This window comes from Homo sapiens, chromosome 16 (genome assembly GCF_000001405.40).
Source record: "Homo sapiens chromosome 16, GRCh38.p14 Primary Assembly".
NCBI lineage: Eukaryota > Metazoa > Chordata > Mammalia > Primates > Hominidae > Homo > Homo sapiens.
The window spans coordinates 56,479,154-56,498,222 of record NC_000016.10 but is presented as its reverse complement, the minus strand read 5'-3'; the positions used below and the strand labels follow the sequence as shown (position 1 = coordinate 56,498,222).

The 19,069-nt window shown below is 39.3% G+C and overlaps 1 protein-coding gene across 7 annotated transcripts in view; it reads left to right on the top strand.

The window, feature by feature from the left end:
* BBS2 (Bardet-Biedl syndrome 2) overlaps positions 1-19,069 on the top strand; it is a 49,622-nt gene that overhangs the window by 21,802 nt on the left and 8,751 nt on the right. For 5 of the 7 annotated variants that reach the window (NR_165296.1, NR_165295.1, NR_165294.1 and 2 more), the window contains 4 exons: positions 343-480; positions 1,144-1,256; positions 12,485-12,633; positions 13,356-13,838. Coding sequence is in view for 2 of the 7 variants with exons in the window: in NM_031885.5 (NP_114091.4) it covers positions 343-480; positions 1,144-1,256; positions 12,485-12,633; positions 13,356-13,462 (507 nt within the window). In the remaining 5 variants the exon portion in view is untranslated. Of the gene's footprint in view, positions 1-342; positions 481-1,143; positions 1,257-12,484; positions 12,634-13,355; positions 13,839-19,069 lie in introns of those variants that run through there. The other 2 variants (NR_165297.1, NM_001377456.1) reach the window with 1 other exon arrangement.

The following is a 19,069-nucleotide window of genomic DNA, read 5'->3' as shown; positions in this document are numbered from 1 at the left end:
CACTGGGGTATAATTTGGAATAGCTGTTTTCTGCCTCCTTCCCTTCATCTCTTCCTTGTCTAATTTGGAAAGAATTGGGAATACAGAGGTCAACAAAAACATTTTCAATGTTTGGATGATTTTGTCATTTAATTTCTAAGGCCAGAGGATTTACCTTTTAGCTAGCTGCTGGAAATAATGCAGTTTGTAATTTCTTTGAGAGCTAAACTTTCCTTTTTCAACACTGCATATATATATATATGCACAATAATTTTGTTGAGTATGGGGAAATTCAGGTACTATTTTAGCTAAGTTTGTCTAACATCTGAGGATGCTAAACTTGTCTATTTTTTCTCTGGGTAGATCACTATAAATACTGATGATATTGATTTGGCTGGTGATATCATCCAGTCAATGGCATCATTTTTTGCTATTGAAGACCTTCAAGTAGAAGCGGATTTTCCTGTCTATTTTGAGGAATTACGAAAGGTGCTAGTTAAGGTGAGGGAATGCGGTAGATGCATTTGTGAGAATGTGGTAGTCTAATAATATTTGAGGAGATTAATGGTACTACAAATGTACTTATGTTATAGTGATGTTTTCAAGAATTTTTGCAATTCTTGAAGTAAAAATTGAACTAGTATTGGAGAGTTTACTACTTAAGGATTTATTTTATAAAAGGAAGTGTTTAGCTCCTGAGCACCATGCTTGCTTTGTTTGGTTTAAAGTGATGCATTTAAATATTAACATTTTCCTTTGTTAGCTCTTCATCTTATTTGTAGTATCTGCTTTGGTCTTCTTCAGTTTGGGTCTTTCCAAAAACCCAAATTCAAGATAAAAGAGCAAAATAAAGATGATTCTGATTGGCCCCAAAGTATACAATATTCCCACTGCAAATCCCTAAAATATTAATATGTGTGTTGTGGGGGCTCCTGGTGCTAAAGCATGGGGAAGATTCACATGGAGTGTCGTGTTGAAATTGGAGGCAGCACAGATGAGTTAACTTGTTGAGACAGAGATGAAATAACGGGAAGTAGCTTAATTGGTATAAGCGAACAGGGGAAAGAAGGGGGTCTCTGTATCTGGTAAATAGTGTCTTTTCATTTGTCTGGGTTCAAGAAGTTTGTGAGGCCTTTTTCATTCCTGAGTGTTCATGGTCTCCAGGTGGATGAATATCATTCAGTGCATCAGAAGCTCAGTGCTGATATGGCTGATCATTCTAATTTGATCCGAAGTTTGCTGGTCGGAGCTGAGGATGCTCGTCTGATGAGGGACATGTGAGTATTTGTCATGGTTAGTACAGGTGCAGGGTTAAAAATGTGAGCAGTATGGAATAGCAACTCTCAGATGTTACCAATAGAAGTATAAATTGTTACAGTGACTTTGGAAAATAACTTGGCATTATCAGTAAAGTTGAAAATGCATGTCCTCTATGACCCAGCAATTCTATTCCTGGTTTATAGCTTAGGGAAAGTTACAGCTTAGTTATATGTATGCTTATAAACCAGGATATTTATATAAGAATATTTGTAAAGGCATTGTTTATAAAAATCTCAAAATGGAAACAATCCAAATTAGCATGAACAGTGTAGCGACAGTGGATGAATTGTGATATATTCATGCAATGGAATACTACACAGCAGTGAGAGCACATGAATCTCCATGACACATAAGAGCAAGGAAAAATCTGATAAGCATAATGGACACTGAAAGAAGACAGACTTAAAAGACTATAAAATGTATCCGTGTGTATAGTTAGAGAAAAGAGTAAACTATAGTTTGGGAAACATGCAATAAATAAAAATATAAATTCAGGGAAGAGATTATCATATAAGATAGTATTTTCTCCTAGAGAAGGAGGGATTATGTTCAGAAAAAACACATTGGGAAACTTCCTGTCTGAAGTCTTGTTTAACTTCATTAAATATTCTGAATTTTTCTGAATATGTAACATTTTACAATAAAAAAGTTAAGTATGTACAGTACAGGTCTTCCTTGGTGCTTGCTAGGATGCCAAATTTACCTTGCCAATAAAATGTACTGAAAAAAATTCAGTAAAATAGTTAACAAATTATAGATGAAATTTATGTGTATATATTAGGGGCAAGAGTTCACTCAGAGTGCTGCTTGTGTTTTTTCCTGAGACGCCTGAATTATTGGCAAATAATTATAATGGTTTTGCTCAGAGGTAAATGGTTTTTAAAATAATTGTATTGTTGAAAATTTCAAACACATACAGAAGTACTTAAATATAATGATTTCATATATACCACCCACCCAACTTCAACAGTTATCAACTAAAGACTGATCTTTTTTCATCTCTACACTCACCCTCTTTCCCTCCCAGGCACTAGATAATTTTGAGGCAAATTTTGGACATTGTGTAATTCTAGCCACAACTATTTCAGACAAAGGGCCTTTCAATATCATATATATATATATACATATATATACACACACACACACACACACACACATATATACACACGTCTGTATAAAAATCACAATGCCATATCACACTTAGAAAAATTTACAATAATTGCTTAATATTACAAATACCTCATCTGTTTAGATGTTCCCAGTTGTCTTATAAATGTGGACATGTGTGTTTTAAGTTGGCTTGCTCAAATCAAAATCCAGATCAAAGTCCATACATTGGATTTGGTTGGAAATCGTTTAATCTTTTAATCCACACTTTTGCTTGCCCACTCAGTCTCTTCTCTCCTTCTCCTGTGGGGTGCCATTTTGGATTTTGCTGGTGGTATCCTTGTGGTAATGTTTAGTATTATTCTTCTGTCCCCTGTATAGAAAGATAATGGTAGATCTGGAGGCTTGATTAGATTCAATTTCAAATTTTGGCAAGAATACTTCGTGAGTAGTGTTGTTTACTTCCATGAGGAAGCATGCAATTTTTGATTGTTTCTTTTTATGATATTATCAGCCATTGATGATCATTGCCTAGATTCATTATTTCTTTTGGGGTTTGCAAAATAGTGATATTCTAATTCTGTTATTCTTTTCTTCATATATTAGTTGAAATACTTCTATGAAAAATAATGTTCCCTCATGAATTAATGAATTATTTGGTTCCCTGAGGTACAGTTTGTACAGGAAAGACAGTTTCTTTATCAGCTTTAAAATAATGTGTTGATCTCCAGCATGCACTAGGTGACCAATGAGATTTTTAAGTCCTTACATACTCATGTATTTGAACATATTTAATGTGTTTCAATTTATATCTGTTATTATTAATTTTTATGGCTAGTTTTTTTTTTTTTTTTCGAGACGGAGTCTCGCTCTGTCGCCCAGGCTGGAGTGCAGTGGTGCAATCTCGGCTCACTGCAACCTCCGCCTCCCGGGTTCATGCCATTCTCCTGCCTCAGCCTCCCGAGTAGCTGGGACTACAGGCGCCCGCCACCAAGCCCGGCTAATTTTTTGTATTTTCAGTAGAGACAGGGTTTCACCGTGTTAGCCAGGATGGTCTCGATCTCCTGAGCTCGTGATCTGCCCGCCTCAGCCTCCCAAAGTGCTGGGATTACAGGTGTGAGCTACTGCGCCCGGCCTTTTACGGCTAGATTTTCCAGTCTGTGGGCAATGGAAGTCTCTTTAGGTTGGATACAGTTACCTTTGGACATGGTCCCATTAATTTGGTTGGTTCTTTGTTTTCTTGTATGATGAAATGTTTCAGGCTTATCTGGTACATTTCCCAGTCTTCATATGGAACCAGCCATTTCTCTCGAGTCCTGGTTCTTTTACATGAGAAATGGTATTTAGAGATCATGGTCTGACCACTAAAGATGTTCATTGCTACTGGGTTGATTATTGTTTTTAGGCCTTTTCAATGCGTAGAGCTAGGAATTTTTTTTTTCAATGAGAAAATATGAGTTCATACTATTTACCATTCAGATTTATGAATATAGGCTCTTCGATTTTATTACTGCGCCTCTTCTCTCTCACATTGAAAATCATGGCTTCAGGTTGGGCACGGTAGTTTACACTTGTAATCCCAGCACTTTGCGATGCTGAGGTGGGAGGATCACATGAGCCCAGGGATTCGAGACCAGCTTGGGCAACATAGTGAGACCCAGTCTCTGCAAAAAAAAAAAAAAAAAAAAAAATTAGCTGGGCATAGTGGTGCATGCCTGTAGTCCTAGTTACTCAGGAGGCAGAGGTAAGAAGATCTCTGGAACCTAGGAGTTTGAGGCTGCAGTGAGCTATGATCATGACACTGCAATCCAGCCTGGGATGACAGAGCAAGATCTCTTAAAAAAAAGTGGGGGAATATCATGGCTCCAATCAGTATCAACATAACTATTTGCTTCATTTTACAGCACAGACACAACATTTAAGAATATTAGCCAAGTTGTTATCAACAATATGATTGCTGAAAACAGTTTAAGATTTTTTGTGTGTTAATTCTTTGTGTCTTTAGGGCATATCCCAGCAGGGAGTTTCCGTCAAATTACTGTATCTTAAAATCATTTGAGATTATTTCTCTTTTGGTTATGCCACAGATTTGATAGAGAGTTAGGTTCATTGTCTTATTTTGCTCTCAGTTTTGGAGGATTGGCATTTTTACCTTTTTGGTTTAATTCTATTACATATTTACTAAAACCTTTTTGTAATTCCAAAGTTAGATCTATAAGACAGGCATGCACGGAAAAGTCTAACTTTCCATTCCTGTGACCTTCATTCTGTTCTCTCCCTTTTACTATAAATAACCAGTTGAACATTTAAGTATATATATGCAGATACACACAGATATATACACACACACCCCTCTTCATGTCTTAGATTAAGTCATAGTATGTATATATCTTTTTCTCCACCTTGGTTTTTTTTTTTTTTTTTTTTTTTTTTGAGACAAGGTCTTGCTGTCACCCAGGCTGGAATGTAGTGATGCAATCACAGCTCACTGCAGCTTCAACCACCCGGGCTCAAGGGATCATCTCACCTCAGCCTCCTGAGTAGATGGGACTAAAGGCATGAGCCACCAGCCCGGCTAATTTTTTATTTTTTTGTAGAGACAGGGTCTCACCACATTGCCTGGGCTGGTCTTGAACTCATGGGATCTACTGATCCTCCCACCTTGGCTTCCCAAAGTGCTGGGATTACAGATGTGAGCCACTGTGTCCAGCCTCCACCTTGCTTTTTACATTTAAAATATATCTTGGAGATTTCTCCACCATGGTGTAGAGAAATACATCTCATTTGTCTTTACGGCTACATAGTACTCCATTTTCTGGCTGTTTTTCAGCCAGTTTCCTCTATTTGGATTGTTTTTTTTTTACTGTAGATAATGCTTAAGTGAATAGTTTTGTTACGTAAATCTTTTTATATTTTTGCCAGGATAGTTTGAGAAAAAGGCTTAACAAATGGGATTACTGCAGTAAATGATACATGCATACAGAATTTTGCAAGGTCTTGTCAAATTCTCCATAGGTGTTACCTCATTTTGTATTCCCATAAGCAATGTATGAGATTGCCTGTTTCTCTTCAGCCTTGCCAGTGGAGTTTGTGGGCATACTCCAGGGGATGAGAAATGGTCTCTTAGTTTTAATTTTTATTTTTTAAATTTTATTTTATTGTGGTAAGACCACAGCATCAGATCTACCTTCTTAACACATTTTTAAGTGTATAATACATTATCGTTGACTATAGGTGCAGTGTTGTACAGCACATCTTTAGAGCTGATTCTTCTTGCTTAACTGAAACTATTGGTAAGCAAATTCCCATTTCTTCTTCCCCTCTTTCAACTATCATTCTACTCTTTGATTTTATGAATTTGACTATTTTAGATACTCCATGCAAATATATAATATTTGTCCTTCTATGACTGGCTTATTTCACTCAGTGTAACATCCTCAGAGTTCGTCCATGTTGTCACATATTGCAGAATTTCCCTCTCTTTTAAGACTGAATAGTGTTCCATTGTTTATATGTACTAAATTTTCTTTATCCATTCACCTGTTGATGAACATTTATGTTTTTTCCACATGTTGGTTATTGTAAATAGTGTGGTGATGAACGTGGGAGTGCTAATAGGTCTTCAGGGTCTTGTCTTCAGTTCATTTGGATAAATACCCGGAAGTGAGATTGCTAGATCATATATGGTAGTTCTATTTTTAATTTTTTGATTACATTTTTAATATTTAATCATTAAAAATTAAAAATTTAAATTTTTAATATTTAATCATTAAAAATTTAAATTTTTAATATTTAAATGTTTTCCATAGTGGCTGCACCATTTTTCATTGTAATCAACAGTGTACAAGGGTTCCAGTTTCTCTACATCCTTGCCAACACTTGTTGTCTTTTTTTTGATAATTTTCATCCTGACAAAGGTGAAATGATACTTCATTGTGGTTTTGATTTGCATTTCCCTGATGACTAGTGGCATTGGGCGTCTTTTTATATACCTGTCGGTCATTTGCTTTTCTTGTTTGGAGAAATTTCTATTCAAGTCCCTAGCTCATTTTTTAATTGGATTACTAGTGTTTTTTTTTTTTTTTTTTTTTGCTGTTGAGTTGTAGGAGCCATTTATTATGTTCAGTATTGGGCATTTTTCATTGTTTTAATTCAGGGCCATTTCCATTTCTTTTTTGTGTGAACTATTTGTCTGTTTACATATCAGGTACTGTTGTAGTCCATTTTGTGCCTCTATAACAGAATACCCGAGAATGGGTAATTTATAAAGGAAAGAAGTTGATTTAGCTTATGGGTCTGTAGGCTGGGAATTACAAGAAACATGGCACTGGCATCCGCTTGACTTCTGTTGAGGGCCATGTGTGAAGTCAAAACATGGCAGAAAAGGTCAAAGGAGAAGGGGACATGTGTGAAGAGGCAAAGCCTGAGGGGTGCCCTAACTTTATAACAACCTGCTCTTTTGATAACTTCATTCCTGCATGAGCGAGAACTCACTCCTGAGAGATGGCATTAATGGCATTAATCTATTCATGAGGGATCTGCCCCCATGACCCAAACACTCCCTACTAGGCCCACCTCCCAACACTGCTGTGCTGGCATTTCAACTTCAACATGAGTTTTGGCGGGGACGAACCACATCCAAACCATAGTGGGTATATTAATCTCTTACGTGTGATATGAGTTGCAAATATGTTTTCCGGAGTTTGTCATTTGGGTTTTCCCTTTGCTTAGATTTTTAAAAAATTTTGCTTTAATGGGCCAGGCGCGGTGGCTCACGCCTGTAATCCCAGCACTTTGGGAGGCTGAGGCAGGTGGATCATGAGGCCAGGAGATCGAGACCGTCCTGACTAACATGGTGAAACCCTGTCTCTACTAAAAATACAAAAAATCAGCCGGTCGTGGTGGCGGGCGCCTGTAGTCCCAGCTATTCGGGAGGCTGAGGCGGGAGAATGGTGTGAACCCGGGAGGCGGAGGTTGCAGTGAGCTGAGATCGCACCACTGCCCTCCAGCCTGGGTGACAGAGTGAGACTCCATCTCAAAAAAAAAAAATTTTGCTTTACTGTTGGTTTTACCTTGTAAGAGCTTTTAAAATTTTGTATATAGTCAAATTATAAGAAAATTTGACTACATTAAGAAAATGTAAGTCATTTTCTTAATACTTTATTTATTTATTTTTGAGACAGAGTCTCACTCTGTTGCCCAGCCTGGAGTGCAGTGGCGTGATCTCGGCTCACTGCAACCTCTGCCTCCCAGATTCAAGTGATTCTCCTGCCTCAGCCTCCCAAGTAGCGCTACCACACCTGGCTGATTTTTGTATTTTTAGTAGAGACGAGGTTTCACCATGTTGGCCAGGCTGGTCTCAAACTCCTGACCTCAGGTGATCTGCCCGCCTTGGCCTCCCAAAGTGCTGGGATTACGGGTGTGAGCCACTGTGCCCAGCCACATTTTCTTAATACTTTTACATTTTGAATTACTGTTAGAAAAGTTTTCTTTAACAGCAGGGTATAGAGTAATTCATCTGTTTTCCTTTAGTACTTGTATATTTTGCTTTTTTACATTAAGTCTCTGTTCCAGTTGGAGTTTATCCTGGTGTTCATATAAATAATAAACTCAGTTTTATCATTTTCCTTATGACTATCACATTATTATTATATTATTATTATTTTTGTGTGTGTGTGTGTGTGTGTGCGTGTGTGTGTGTGTGAGATAGGGTCTCACTGTGTCACCCAGGCTGGAGTGCAGAGAGATCACAGCTCACAGCAGCCTCGATCTCCTGGGCTCAAGTTATCCTCCCACCTCAGCTGCTGGAGTAGCTGGGACTACAGGCGTGTGCTACCATAGCCAGCTAATTTTTGTGTAGACCCAGGGTCTCGCTCTGTTGCCCAGACTGGTCTTGAACTCCTGGGCTCAAGCGATCTGCCTGCCGTGGCCTGTCAAAATGCTGGGATTTCAGGCGTGAGCCACTGTGCCTGGCCACATTGCATTATTTTAATACTACTACTTTTTTTTTTTCTTTGAGATGGAGTTTCGCTCTTGTTGCCCAAGCTGGAGTGCAATGGCGCTATCTTGGCTCACTGCAACCTCTGCCTTCCTGGTTCAAGCCATTCTCCTGCTTCAGCCTCCCGAGTAGCTGGGATTACAGGCATGCGCCACCATGCCCAGCTAATTTTTTTTGTATTTTTAGTAGAGATGGAGTTTCACTATGTTGGCCAGGCTGGTCTCAAACTCCTGACCTCAGGTGATCCACCAACCTCGGCCTCCCAAAGTGCTGGGATTACAGGTGTGAGCCACTGTGCCCAGCCTGATACTACTTCTTTTAAAGTTCATCATGCTTACAATGATTTCAGATACTGCCCTTATCATATATCATATTTCTGTACACAGTTGAATCTATTTCTGGATTTTCTGTACTATTCCATTGGTCTGACTTGTCACTTCATTTGACAATATCATTCTTTTTTAAAAAAAATTATTTTGAGACAGAATCTTATTCTGTTGCCCAGGCTGGAGCACAGTGGTGTGATCACAGCTCACTGCAACCTCGGCCTCCCAGGTACAAGGGATCCTCCTACCTCAGCCTCCTGAGTAGGTGGGACTACAGGCATGTGCCACCACACCCAGCTAATTTTTTTTTATTTTTGGTAGAGACAGGGTCTCACTATATTGCCCAGGCTAGTCTCAAACTCCTGAGGTTAAGCCATCCTCTTGCCTCGGCCATTTTTTTTTTTTAATGTTTGGCTGGGTGCAGTAGCTTATGTCTATAATCCCAGTGCTTTGGGAGGTTGAGGCATGAGGATGGCTTGAGGCCAGGAGCTCAAGACCAGCCTGGGCAATATAGCAAGACCCCATCTCTAAAAAAGAAAATATAAATTTCATTGTGATATTCTGAAATACATATTTGATCTTCAACCCTGTTTCCTGACATAATAACTCCTAAAATCTTAGGCTCTCCAAAGTGATGTCTTTTTGTATGCTATTGATTGGTTTATGGCTGGCAGCTCCTAGGTAGCTTCAGGATAGGGGTCAGTCACCAGAACGACCAAGGCAGGATTAGAGGATTGGGACTTTCTGCCCACCCCTCTCCCAACCTCCAGGGAGTGGAGAGGGGCTGAGAGTTAAGTTGATCACCTATGGCCAGTGGTTTAGTCAGTCATGCCCAAATAATGAAGATTCCATCAAAACCCAAAGGGACAGCATTCAGAGATTTTCTAGACATCTGAACACACAGAGTTTCCTGAAGGTTGATGCACCTAGGGAGGGCATGGAAGCTCCAAGCGCCTTCCCTAATACTTCGTTCTATGCATCTCTTCATCTGTATCCTTTGTAATATCCTTTATAATAAACTAGCAAATGCCATTAAGTTTCCCTGGGTTCTATGTACTGCTCTAGTAAATTAATCAAACCCACAGAGGGGGTCATGGGAACCCTAACTTGAAGCAGATCAGTCAGAAATTCTGGCAGCCTGAACTTGTGATATGTATCTGAAGTCAGGCAGTCTTGTGGGACTGAGCCCTTAATCTGTGAGATCTGACAGTGTCTCCGGGGGAATCGTGTCGGAACGGAATTGGAGGACACCCAGCTGGTGTCTGCTATAGAACTGATTGTTTTCTTGGTGTGTGGGAAAAACCTCCACACAGTTGAGGACAGAAGTCTTCTGTGTTGATTGTTGTGGTGTGGGAGCAGAGGAGGAACAGTTTGTTTTTTTCCCCACTCATGGTGAACTACACAATGTGAAATTTACCATCTTAACTACTGTATACTACTTTTAGTGTACGGTTCAGTGGCATTAAATACGTTCATAATGTGTAACCATCACCACCAGCAGCATCTCTATAATTCTTTATCTCTTAAACCTGAAACTCTGTACCCGTTAAACAGTAACTACCCATTCTCCCTTCCCTTTAGCTCTGGCAACTACCAGTGATGGTGCCATTCTTTCATGTATGGATGTTTTGTATGTTTCAATATCTGGTGTGGGTAGTGCCCCGTCCCCAACCCCTGTTGCTTTTCTTTTTCATGGTTTTTCCTAGCTACTTGTGCTTGTTTGTTCTTTCCAATGAATTTCATCAGCAATTTTTGTAGCTCCGTAACAAAAATAGGTATTTTAATTGAGATGATGTTAAATGCATTAACTTAGGGAGAACTGATGCTGCTGCAGTGATGTTTGGTCTTGCTAGCTAAGAACATGCTATGTCTTTATATTTGCTTAAGCCATGTTTTGTGTCTTTCTGGAGTGCTTTCATGGTTTACTCTTGTAGATACTGGATGTTACCAATTTTAAGTTTATGCTTAGGTATTTTCTGTATTTTTAGACAATTACGAAATATTTTATAATTGTAAATATTTTTTACATTATCTTATTCTATAATTATGGTTTTGTGTTTGTACATATGAACACTGATTTTTATCTGTTGATTTTATAATGTGCCCTTTACTAACTATCTTATAGTTTTTCCAGATGTATTCTTGTATCATCTGTAAATTGAGATAGATATTTGCTCTTTTTGGCCAACTATCTGTAGGGTCCCTAGTTTCTCTATCTCTCTATCTCTCTCTTAAGTCAAAAATGGTTGCTGGCTTTAGGCATTTGATTGCAAAATGTCAACATTTGTTTTTTTTTTTAAATCAAATTAATTGATATATAACTCATACATGCAGAAAATTTATGCTTTTAAGGTTTACAGTTTAATCAATTTTGAGAAACTTATGTAATCATGTTGCTACTACTACAATCGAGATATAGGATATTTCTATCACTGGCCGGGTGGCTCACACTTGTAATCCCAGCATTTTGGGAGGCCAAGGTGGGTGGATCACTTGAAGCCAGGAGTTCGAGACCAGCCTGGCCAACATGGTGAAACCCAGTCTCTACTAAAACTACAAAAAATTAGCCAGGTGTGGTGGCGGGTACCTGTAATCCCACCTATTCAGGAGGCTGAGGCAGGAGAATCACTTGAACCTGGGAGGTGGAGGTTGCAGTGATCCGAGATCGTGCCATTGCACTCCATCTAGCTTACTGGGCAACAAGAGCAAAACTCCATCTCAAAAAAAAAAAAAAAAAAAAAAAAGAATATTTCTGTCACTCTTGTGACTGTTTGTATCAATACCTCTTCTAACCTCCAGTTCCTGGAAACCACTCATCTTATTTCTTTTCCTGTAGTTTCAACCTTTTCAAAATACCATATAAATGGAATCATACTGTATCTATATCTATATATCCTTTTGAGTCTGGCTTCATTCACTTACATAATGTCTTAGAGATTCATCCATGTTGCTGCATGTATTTGTAGTTCCTTTTTTATTGCTGAATAGTATTCCATTGTATGGATATATGATATTTATCTATTCACCAACTGAGGATAATTGGGTTGTTTCCAGACTTTGGTGAGTAGAATAAAGCTGCTATAAATACTTGCATACAAGTTTTTTATAGACATAGGTTTTCATTTCTCTTGGGTAAATACCTTACAATGGGATTGCTGGGTCATACATTGTGTGTTTAACTTTATAAGAAACTGCCAAATCACCTGTCAAAGTAGTTGCAGCTTTTTGTATTTCTGTCCACAATGCATGAAAGTTCCAGTTGTCCCACATCTTTGCTAGCATTTGGTATCTTCAGCTATATTTTTCTTTAGTTATTTTCATTGTTGTGTAGTATAGATCTCATTTCTGTTTTAATTTTATGACTTTGTTTTAAACCTTTGATAAAATACAAGGCTGAGTTGTCAACCAGGCCACTTTAGTCTAATGAATATTCATCTGAAACTTGGAAGGTGGGCTGTCACCTTGCTCACTTGTCCCTACTCCCAGCACAGTGGGCTTGAGAATTCTTAACCACCTAAATCAACCATTGACCAGTAACCAAGGAAGGCCACTTGTCTTCTGTTTATTTGGAAGGAAAAGAATATTTTTATGGAACTTATCCGTATTTTCAAAGCAAACTAGCAGTTACTCGATTTTAATGAAAATATAGCTTAAAAATGGTGTCTTTTCTTTGTATGTCTAAGAAATTTGCAAGTTTTTCTTAAGCTTGCCATATCAACATGAAATGATGTCAAATTTCTACTGATTTGCACAGGAAAACAATGAAGAGTCGTTATATGGAACTCTATGACCTTAATAGAGACTTGCTAAATGGATATAAAATTCGCTGTAACAATCACACAGAGCTGTTGGGAAACCTCAAAGCAGTAAATCAAGCAATTCAAAGAGCAGGTCGTCTGCGGGGTAAGTCTCTTTTCATAACACTGCACTTTGATCTGTAATGTTTTTGGTGGAACTCATTGAAGATGGTGGTAGCATCCAATAATTCATATTGGGGCTGAAAGTAGCATACCTTTCACACTCCAGAGCTGGCACCAGTCACTTATGTTTCAGTCAGTCGGCCTAGTGTTTGGCTTTTGTCTCCGGACTTCAAAGGGAGAGAAAACCTTCAGCTCCTTTTCTTAGACCTTCCTGCATCCTCTAAAGAAAAACCTACTATATATAACCCAAAGGAAATATATAAACATATATATATAAATAAAACCATCAAGGCCCAATTAGCAAAAAAGAGACTGAAAATTAATGCTAAGTGTCTAACTTAAAAATTTAGAAAAGAACAATAGGATAAACCCAAGGAAGCAGAAATATAGCCAGAGATTTATACCTGAATTCTGCTGTTTTGGGTCGATGCTTTGACTTCTTTAGAAATAATCTTTGCTAGGTGACTATGAGCTTTGATCCTTTTCTGTAAAACTGACTGTTGGTTTCTAGGTTTGAGACAGTCTCTAAGTCAGTTTTTTCAATAATTCCCTCACCAAGTTATTTTTTTTAGGGAATGGTAAGATAAATCATATTTCAAGTATAACTCTTTTCCCTCCTGGTTTTATGTTGTTTTAAAACTGACGTCTAATTTTATAATTTCATGTCTAACAATCTTTTGGTTCCTGATGTTTCTTCTTATGCAGTTGGAAAACCAAAGAACCAGGTGATCACTGCTTGTCGGGATGCAATTCGAAGCAATAACATCAACACACTGTTCAAAATCATGCGAGTGGGGACAGCTTCTTCCTAGGTGAGGAAAATACAGGTCATGAAGTTCCTGGCAAAGATTTTCTGTTAAAAACCTATGCTGGTTTGCTTTGGATCACACCCTGGTGAACCCCGGGTGCTAAGAATGAAAATAACCTTGGTGAGTTGTACAAATTAAAGACAAAGAACTACATGTGAAGATAGACTTGCTTTCTATTTTTAAATCAGTAGTAGTACTGTTGCTGAATAATACTAGGTTTTTATGGAATAGGATGAATGCTTTTGAAGTATTAGGGCTTCAGAGTCCAATTTTGCTTATTTATGGTATATAAATACATATTTTTTTCTTGAAATTGCAATTGAGTTTGTACTTTTCAAATAGATTATCTACTTTTTCATTAAAATGTAAAGATGTTAAACTTTGTGTTGATTGATTATAAAATCACCACCAAATCAGAATTGCCCATTTGTATTTTGTAGTAGAGAAAAACAAAAATGTGGGCTGGGCACAGGGCTTATGCCTGTAATCTAGCACTTTGGGAGGCCAGGGCGGGCGGATCATAAGGTCAGGAGATCGAGACCATCCTGGCTAACACGGTGAAACCCCGTCTCTACTAAAAACACAAAAAATTAGCTGGGCATGGTGGCACTCATCTGTAGTCCAAGCTACTTGGGAGGCTGAGGCAGGAGAATTGCTTGAACCCGGGTGGCAGAGGTTGCAATGAGCCTAGATTGCACCACTGCACTCCAGTCTGGGCGACAGCAAGACTCCCGTCTAAAAAAAAAAAAAAAAAAAATATTTGGGCTGAGCTCAGTGGCTCACACCTATAATCCTAGCACTTTGGGAGGCCAAGGCGGGTGGATCCCCTGAGGTCAGGAGTTTGAGACCAGCCTGGCCAACATGATGAAACCTGGTCTCTACTAAAAATACAAAAAATTAGCCAGGTTTGGTGGTGGACACCTACAATCCCAGCTATGCAGGAGGCTGAGGCAGGAGAATTGCTTGAACCCAGGAGGTGGAGGTTGCAGTGAGCAAGATTGCACCACTGCACTCCAGCCTGGGTGACAAGAGCAAAACTCTGTCTCAAAAAAAAAAAAAAATGTGGATATTTGGATTTGTGTGCTTTTTAATCACTGAAAGATGGGTGCAAACAACAAATTTACATTAAGGAAGAGTCAATTTAGAGTGATTACTTTGTTGGGCTAATGTTAGCTGCTGTAACAAATAGACCTCAAAATCATAATGACTCATTTTTCATTTATTATGTAAGGATTTCTCCATAGTTATGCAGGGACCCAGGTTCCTTTAATCATGTGGCTCTGTCATCCCCTAGGACAAACTTTTCTACCTGAGTTCACTAAAGGACTAAGCCTAAGGAAAAAGGTTTGGGTGACTAGTTTCACATTCAGTACATACAGTGGAGGGAGGTCTTAGGGCAGTGGGGCTTTATTATCTCACTTGGAACACTATTTGACAAGGGCTGTCCTAGGGCCTTGTGGTTATTTACAGCCATGTACCAGATAATGAAGTTTAGGTCACCATAAGATTATAATACTGTATTTTTACTGTACCTTTGTGTTTAGATATGTATAATTACACAAATACTTAGCATTATGTTACAGTTTCCTACAGTATTCAGTATAGTACCATGCTGTACAGATTTGTAGGCTGGGAACAACAGGCTATACTGTATAGCCTAGGTGTGGAGTAGGCTATACCATCTAGGTGTGTATAAGTGCACACTGTACAATGTTCACATGATGACAAAGTAGCCTAACAATGCATTTCTCAGACTGTACTGCTGTTGTTAGCAGAGCATGACCATATAGCTGAGCCGGTAGAAGAGAGTAAGAGGGAAACATGTCTTCTTCTTTTAAAAGTGTGGTCTGAAAGTAGCACACTATCATTTCCATTCAGAATTCCATTGAGTCACATGACCACATCTGCAGGGGAGGCCGGGAGATGGAATCTAGCTGTGTGCCTGTAGGAACGCTGGTATTTGTGCCAATAGCTAGCAGTCTCTTCCCTAGGAAAAATTTCGCCCTAACGTAGATTTCAGGACTGGTTTAATGAGTGAAACTTCAGTTAGTTTTAATATCTTAATAGCTGTTTAGGGGAAGTGGAGCATTTCCCTGAGGTTAGTAAACATTAATTTTATTGATTTTGATGTGGCCACTTTACGATGGCCCCTCCTATATCTGAAATTTAAGCCTTATGGAGTCCTAATTATGAGAATATGCTAATACTTTTGTTTTTCATTTTCAACCTATAAACTCAAGAGATAATCCACATACACTGTATTATTTTCAATCTCCAAAGTAGTAAAGTATCATCGTAAATCTGCCTCACACAGAGGTTGCTGTGAGCCGAGATCATGCCACTGCACTCTAGCCTGGGTGACAGAGGGAGACTCCATCTCCAAAACAAAAATAAATAAATAAATAAATAAATGTGCCTCACAGAGGAGGAAACTGAGGCATAAATAACCTCCTTTTCAGGTCACAGAGTTAGTGACCTGTGTGACCTGTCTAGTGACTCAAGAGGAAACTTGAGTCCTACTGTTGAGTCTTTGTTTTAACCATAGTCTAATTTATACCATTTGAGATTAAAATCTCTAGTTGGTGCTAGTTTTAAATTATATAATGCCATTCATTTTTAGGGAGTCTAATAACATAATCTCATCAAAGGTCACTCTGTTGTTCTTTAGCTAAAAAACTTCCTTCTTAGACCTAAAAATACTCATGGCCAGGCTAGAAGGCATTGACCTGCAGCAAGACATATTAAGTTGTTCTGATTCATAGGTTATTTTCACAGTAATTTGATCCTGTTGATGTTGGTGTCTGTTTCACAGATGAGGCTCTGAGCTCTAAGACAGAGTGTCCTGTACAGGGTCCCACAGCTGGGTAAGCCCTGGTGTGAAGGAGGTGTTGGAAACAAGTAGTCACGGCCTCTTCTACTCCAAACTTCCCAAGCAAGTAAAGACTGGCCGAAGTGAAAACATTCATAAAACATGCAACTACCTTTTTTCCCCCAACTTAGAACTCATCCTGTTCAGCTTAGGAGTGAGGAAAAACTGGACAAGGAGAGATGAGTTTATCAGTAACTTCTCTATTTTGTTGCCATATGTTTCTATCCTGATAGAATCTGAGTACTTCTAGAAGCTACAGCAAAGCTGTATTTCACTGCTGAATTACATTGAAGCTTTAAGTGAGCACTGAGCTGTCATTTAAAAGCTGACTTTGAGGATTTTGATATCTGAGAGAAAGCTTTCAGTACCATAATTCAGGTTCTGAGGATTTTTAAGAGTATAATTTGTATTATTTCCCACCATGACTGCCTATCCAGTACCTCAAAGCCCCGCTCAAATGCTCTCTCCTTAGGTGACCTTTCCTCTCCCATGTCTACTCCTTAACCCTTATTAAATTCTTTACTTAAATCTTAATCCCCTGTTAAGCAAGAATGGTGTCTGCATCTTAACCAGCGTCACCCTCGCCCCAGTGCTGAGCCAGTGCCTTGAGCATAGAATAGCATCTGCCGCTCTGCTTGGGATTGTCTGTCCTTAATACGCCTGTCAGCAGCTTCAGAAATCAAAGAACTAGGAACTTTAAAACTATTATGCAACCCTAGAAGTGTTTTACAAGAAAGATTTTCAACATTGTTATTAATGTTTCAAATTTTATAATTAGCAGTTACAGATCTGCCAATGCACAGTCCTGTCATTATAGAACTAAATTACCTCCAATTTCATTTGGAAACTCAAGTACAGTAAGACACCCATTACAGCCTGGTGTTTCGCATTTTGCCTCTTTTCCATCTGGCCCCTGCCCACACTCTATGCTCTAGCTCTGAAGTCATCTTGTAATCTGTACAGTACAGAATCTGCTTTTCCTAAAAGTGATGTCACATGGACAGTTCCCAAGTCGTTTTTAAATTGTCTTTGTGGACTGATTTTGCATCAGAGAGGGAATCATCAGGACACCCATTTCCATGCAGGCTGGAGAGCCCTCCTCTGGCATCACTTCACTAGATCTCCTCGACCCTTTTCAACAGGGTTTGTGCTTCCTCATTGTTTAGTAGTGGTTAAGTATGTCATGGTGTTGAAGCAGTAATGCACCCCAAAACTTCTTATTCAAGAAATACTGCCAGAACTTTGGGAGGTCAAGGCGGGTGGGTCACTTGAGGTCAGGAGTTTGAGACCAGCCTGGCCAACATGGTGAAATCCCATCTCTACTAAAAATACAAAAATTAGCCAGTGTGGTGTTAGGCACCTGTAATCCCAGAATTGCTTGAACCTGGGAGGCAGAGGTTGCAGTGAGTTGAGATCATGCCACTGCACTCCAGCCTGGGTGACAGAGACTCCGTCTCAAAAAAAATAAAAAATAAAAAATAAAAAATACTGGTCTGGGAGAGGTAACCCAAGCTTTGTTTTTTTTTTTGTTTTTTTTTTTTTGTGTGTGTGTGTGTGAGGGGGTGTTCTGTGGGGAAGAAACCCACATTCAGTGGAATTTTGAGAGGCAATCTTTAAACAGTAGACAAGCCCAGTTCAAAACTAACAGATTCTTTCTTTTGGAACCCTAACTTTCCACATTTTAAAGATGTGGACTTTAAAATTAAAGATGTGGACCTAATTTTAAAGATTAAGGACTAGTGTTATTTATAGGGTACTTCCTTAGACATTTTATTTTTCTTCTTATTCAAAGATGCAAATATGTTCACAAGTTTTGTTAAAACGTTCCTAATTTCCAGTATGGTTAACATATAAAGAAGAAGTAGTGAAGTAGTCTCTGTAAGGCTGTTCTCTTCCTGTCCAATGCTGGAGCTTGAAGCCCATAGGGCGGGTAGTCAGAAAAGATGTGGAGTTGGGGAGAACAAGCTGCAACCCACAGGCATGGGCTGGAGCCCGTGAGGATGCTAAAATCTGTCCGTTCTTGTTGCTTCTGACCTTGATGGTGTGGGCATTCTGCTGAAACTGAGACCCTTCACAGAGGAGCTGAAGGAAGATCCATCCAGGGGAAGGTGGAGCGGTTGCAGGCCCAGGCACAGGTGTGGTTCACACCAGCAAGGTGTGCCAGCTACTCAAGGGCTGCTGCTGCATTGGGCCCTGCAGATCTGGCATAGGAATTTGTGGCTCATCCTAACCTGAGACATAGGGAAGAGAGTTCTGGGAAATGTAGTTCAGTCTAGCCAAGTTGATACATGACAAAGCTACCAGTGGCTGTCATAGGATGGTGGGATTTCAGGTGATCCTTAGATATTACATGTTATTACCTCACAATGAGCATGTGTTATTTATATAGTCTGAAAAAACAGAAAGCTATTTTTTTTGAGACGGATTCTTGTTCTGTTGCCCAGGCTGGAGTGCAGTGGTGCGATCTCGGCTCACTGCAACCTCTGCCTCCCTCCTGGGTTCAAGCGATTCTCCTGCCTCAGCCTCCCAAGTACCTGGGATTACAGGCACGTGCCAGCACACCCAGCTAATTTTTGTATTTTTAGCAGAGATAGGGTTTCACCATGTTGGCCAGGCTGGTCTCCCAACTCCTGACCTCAGGTAATCTGCCAGCCTCGGGGCCTCCCAAAGTGCTGGGATTACAGGTGTGAGCCACTATGCCGGGCCCATAGAGCTATTTTCTTTGGGGATAAAAATGGGAG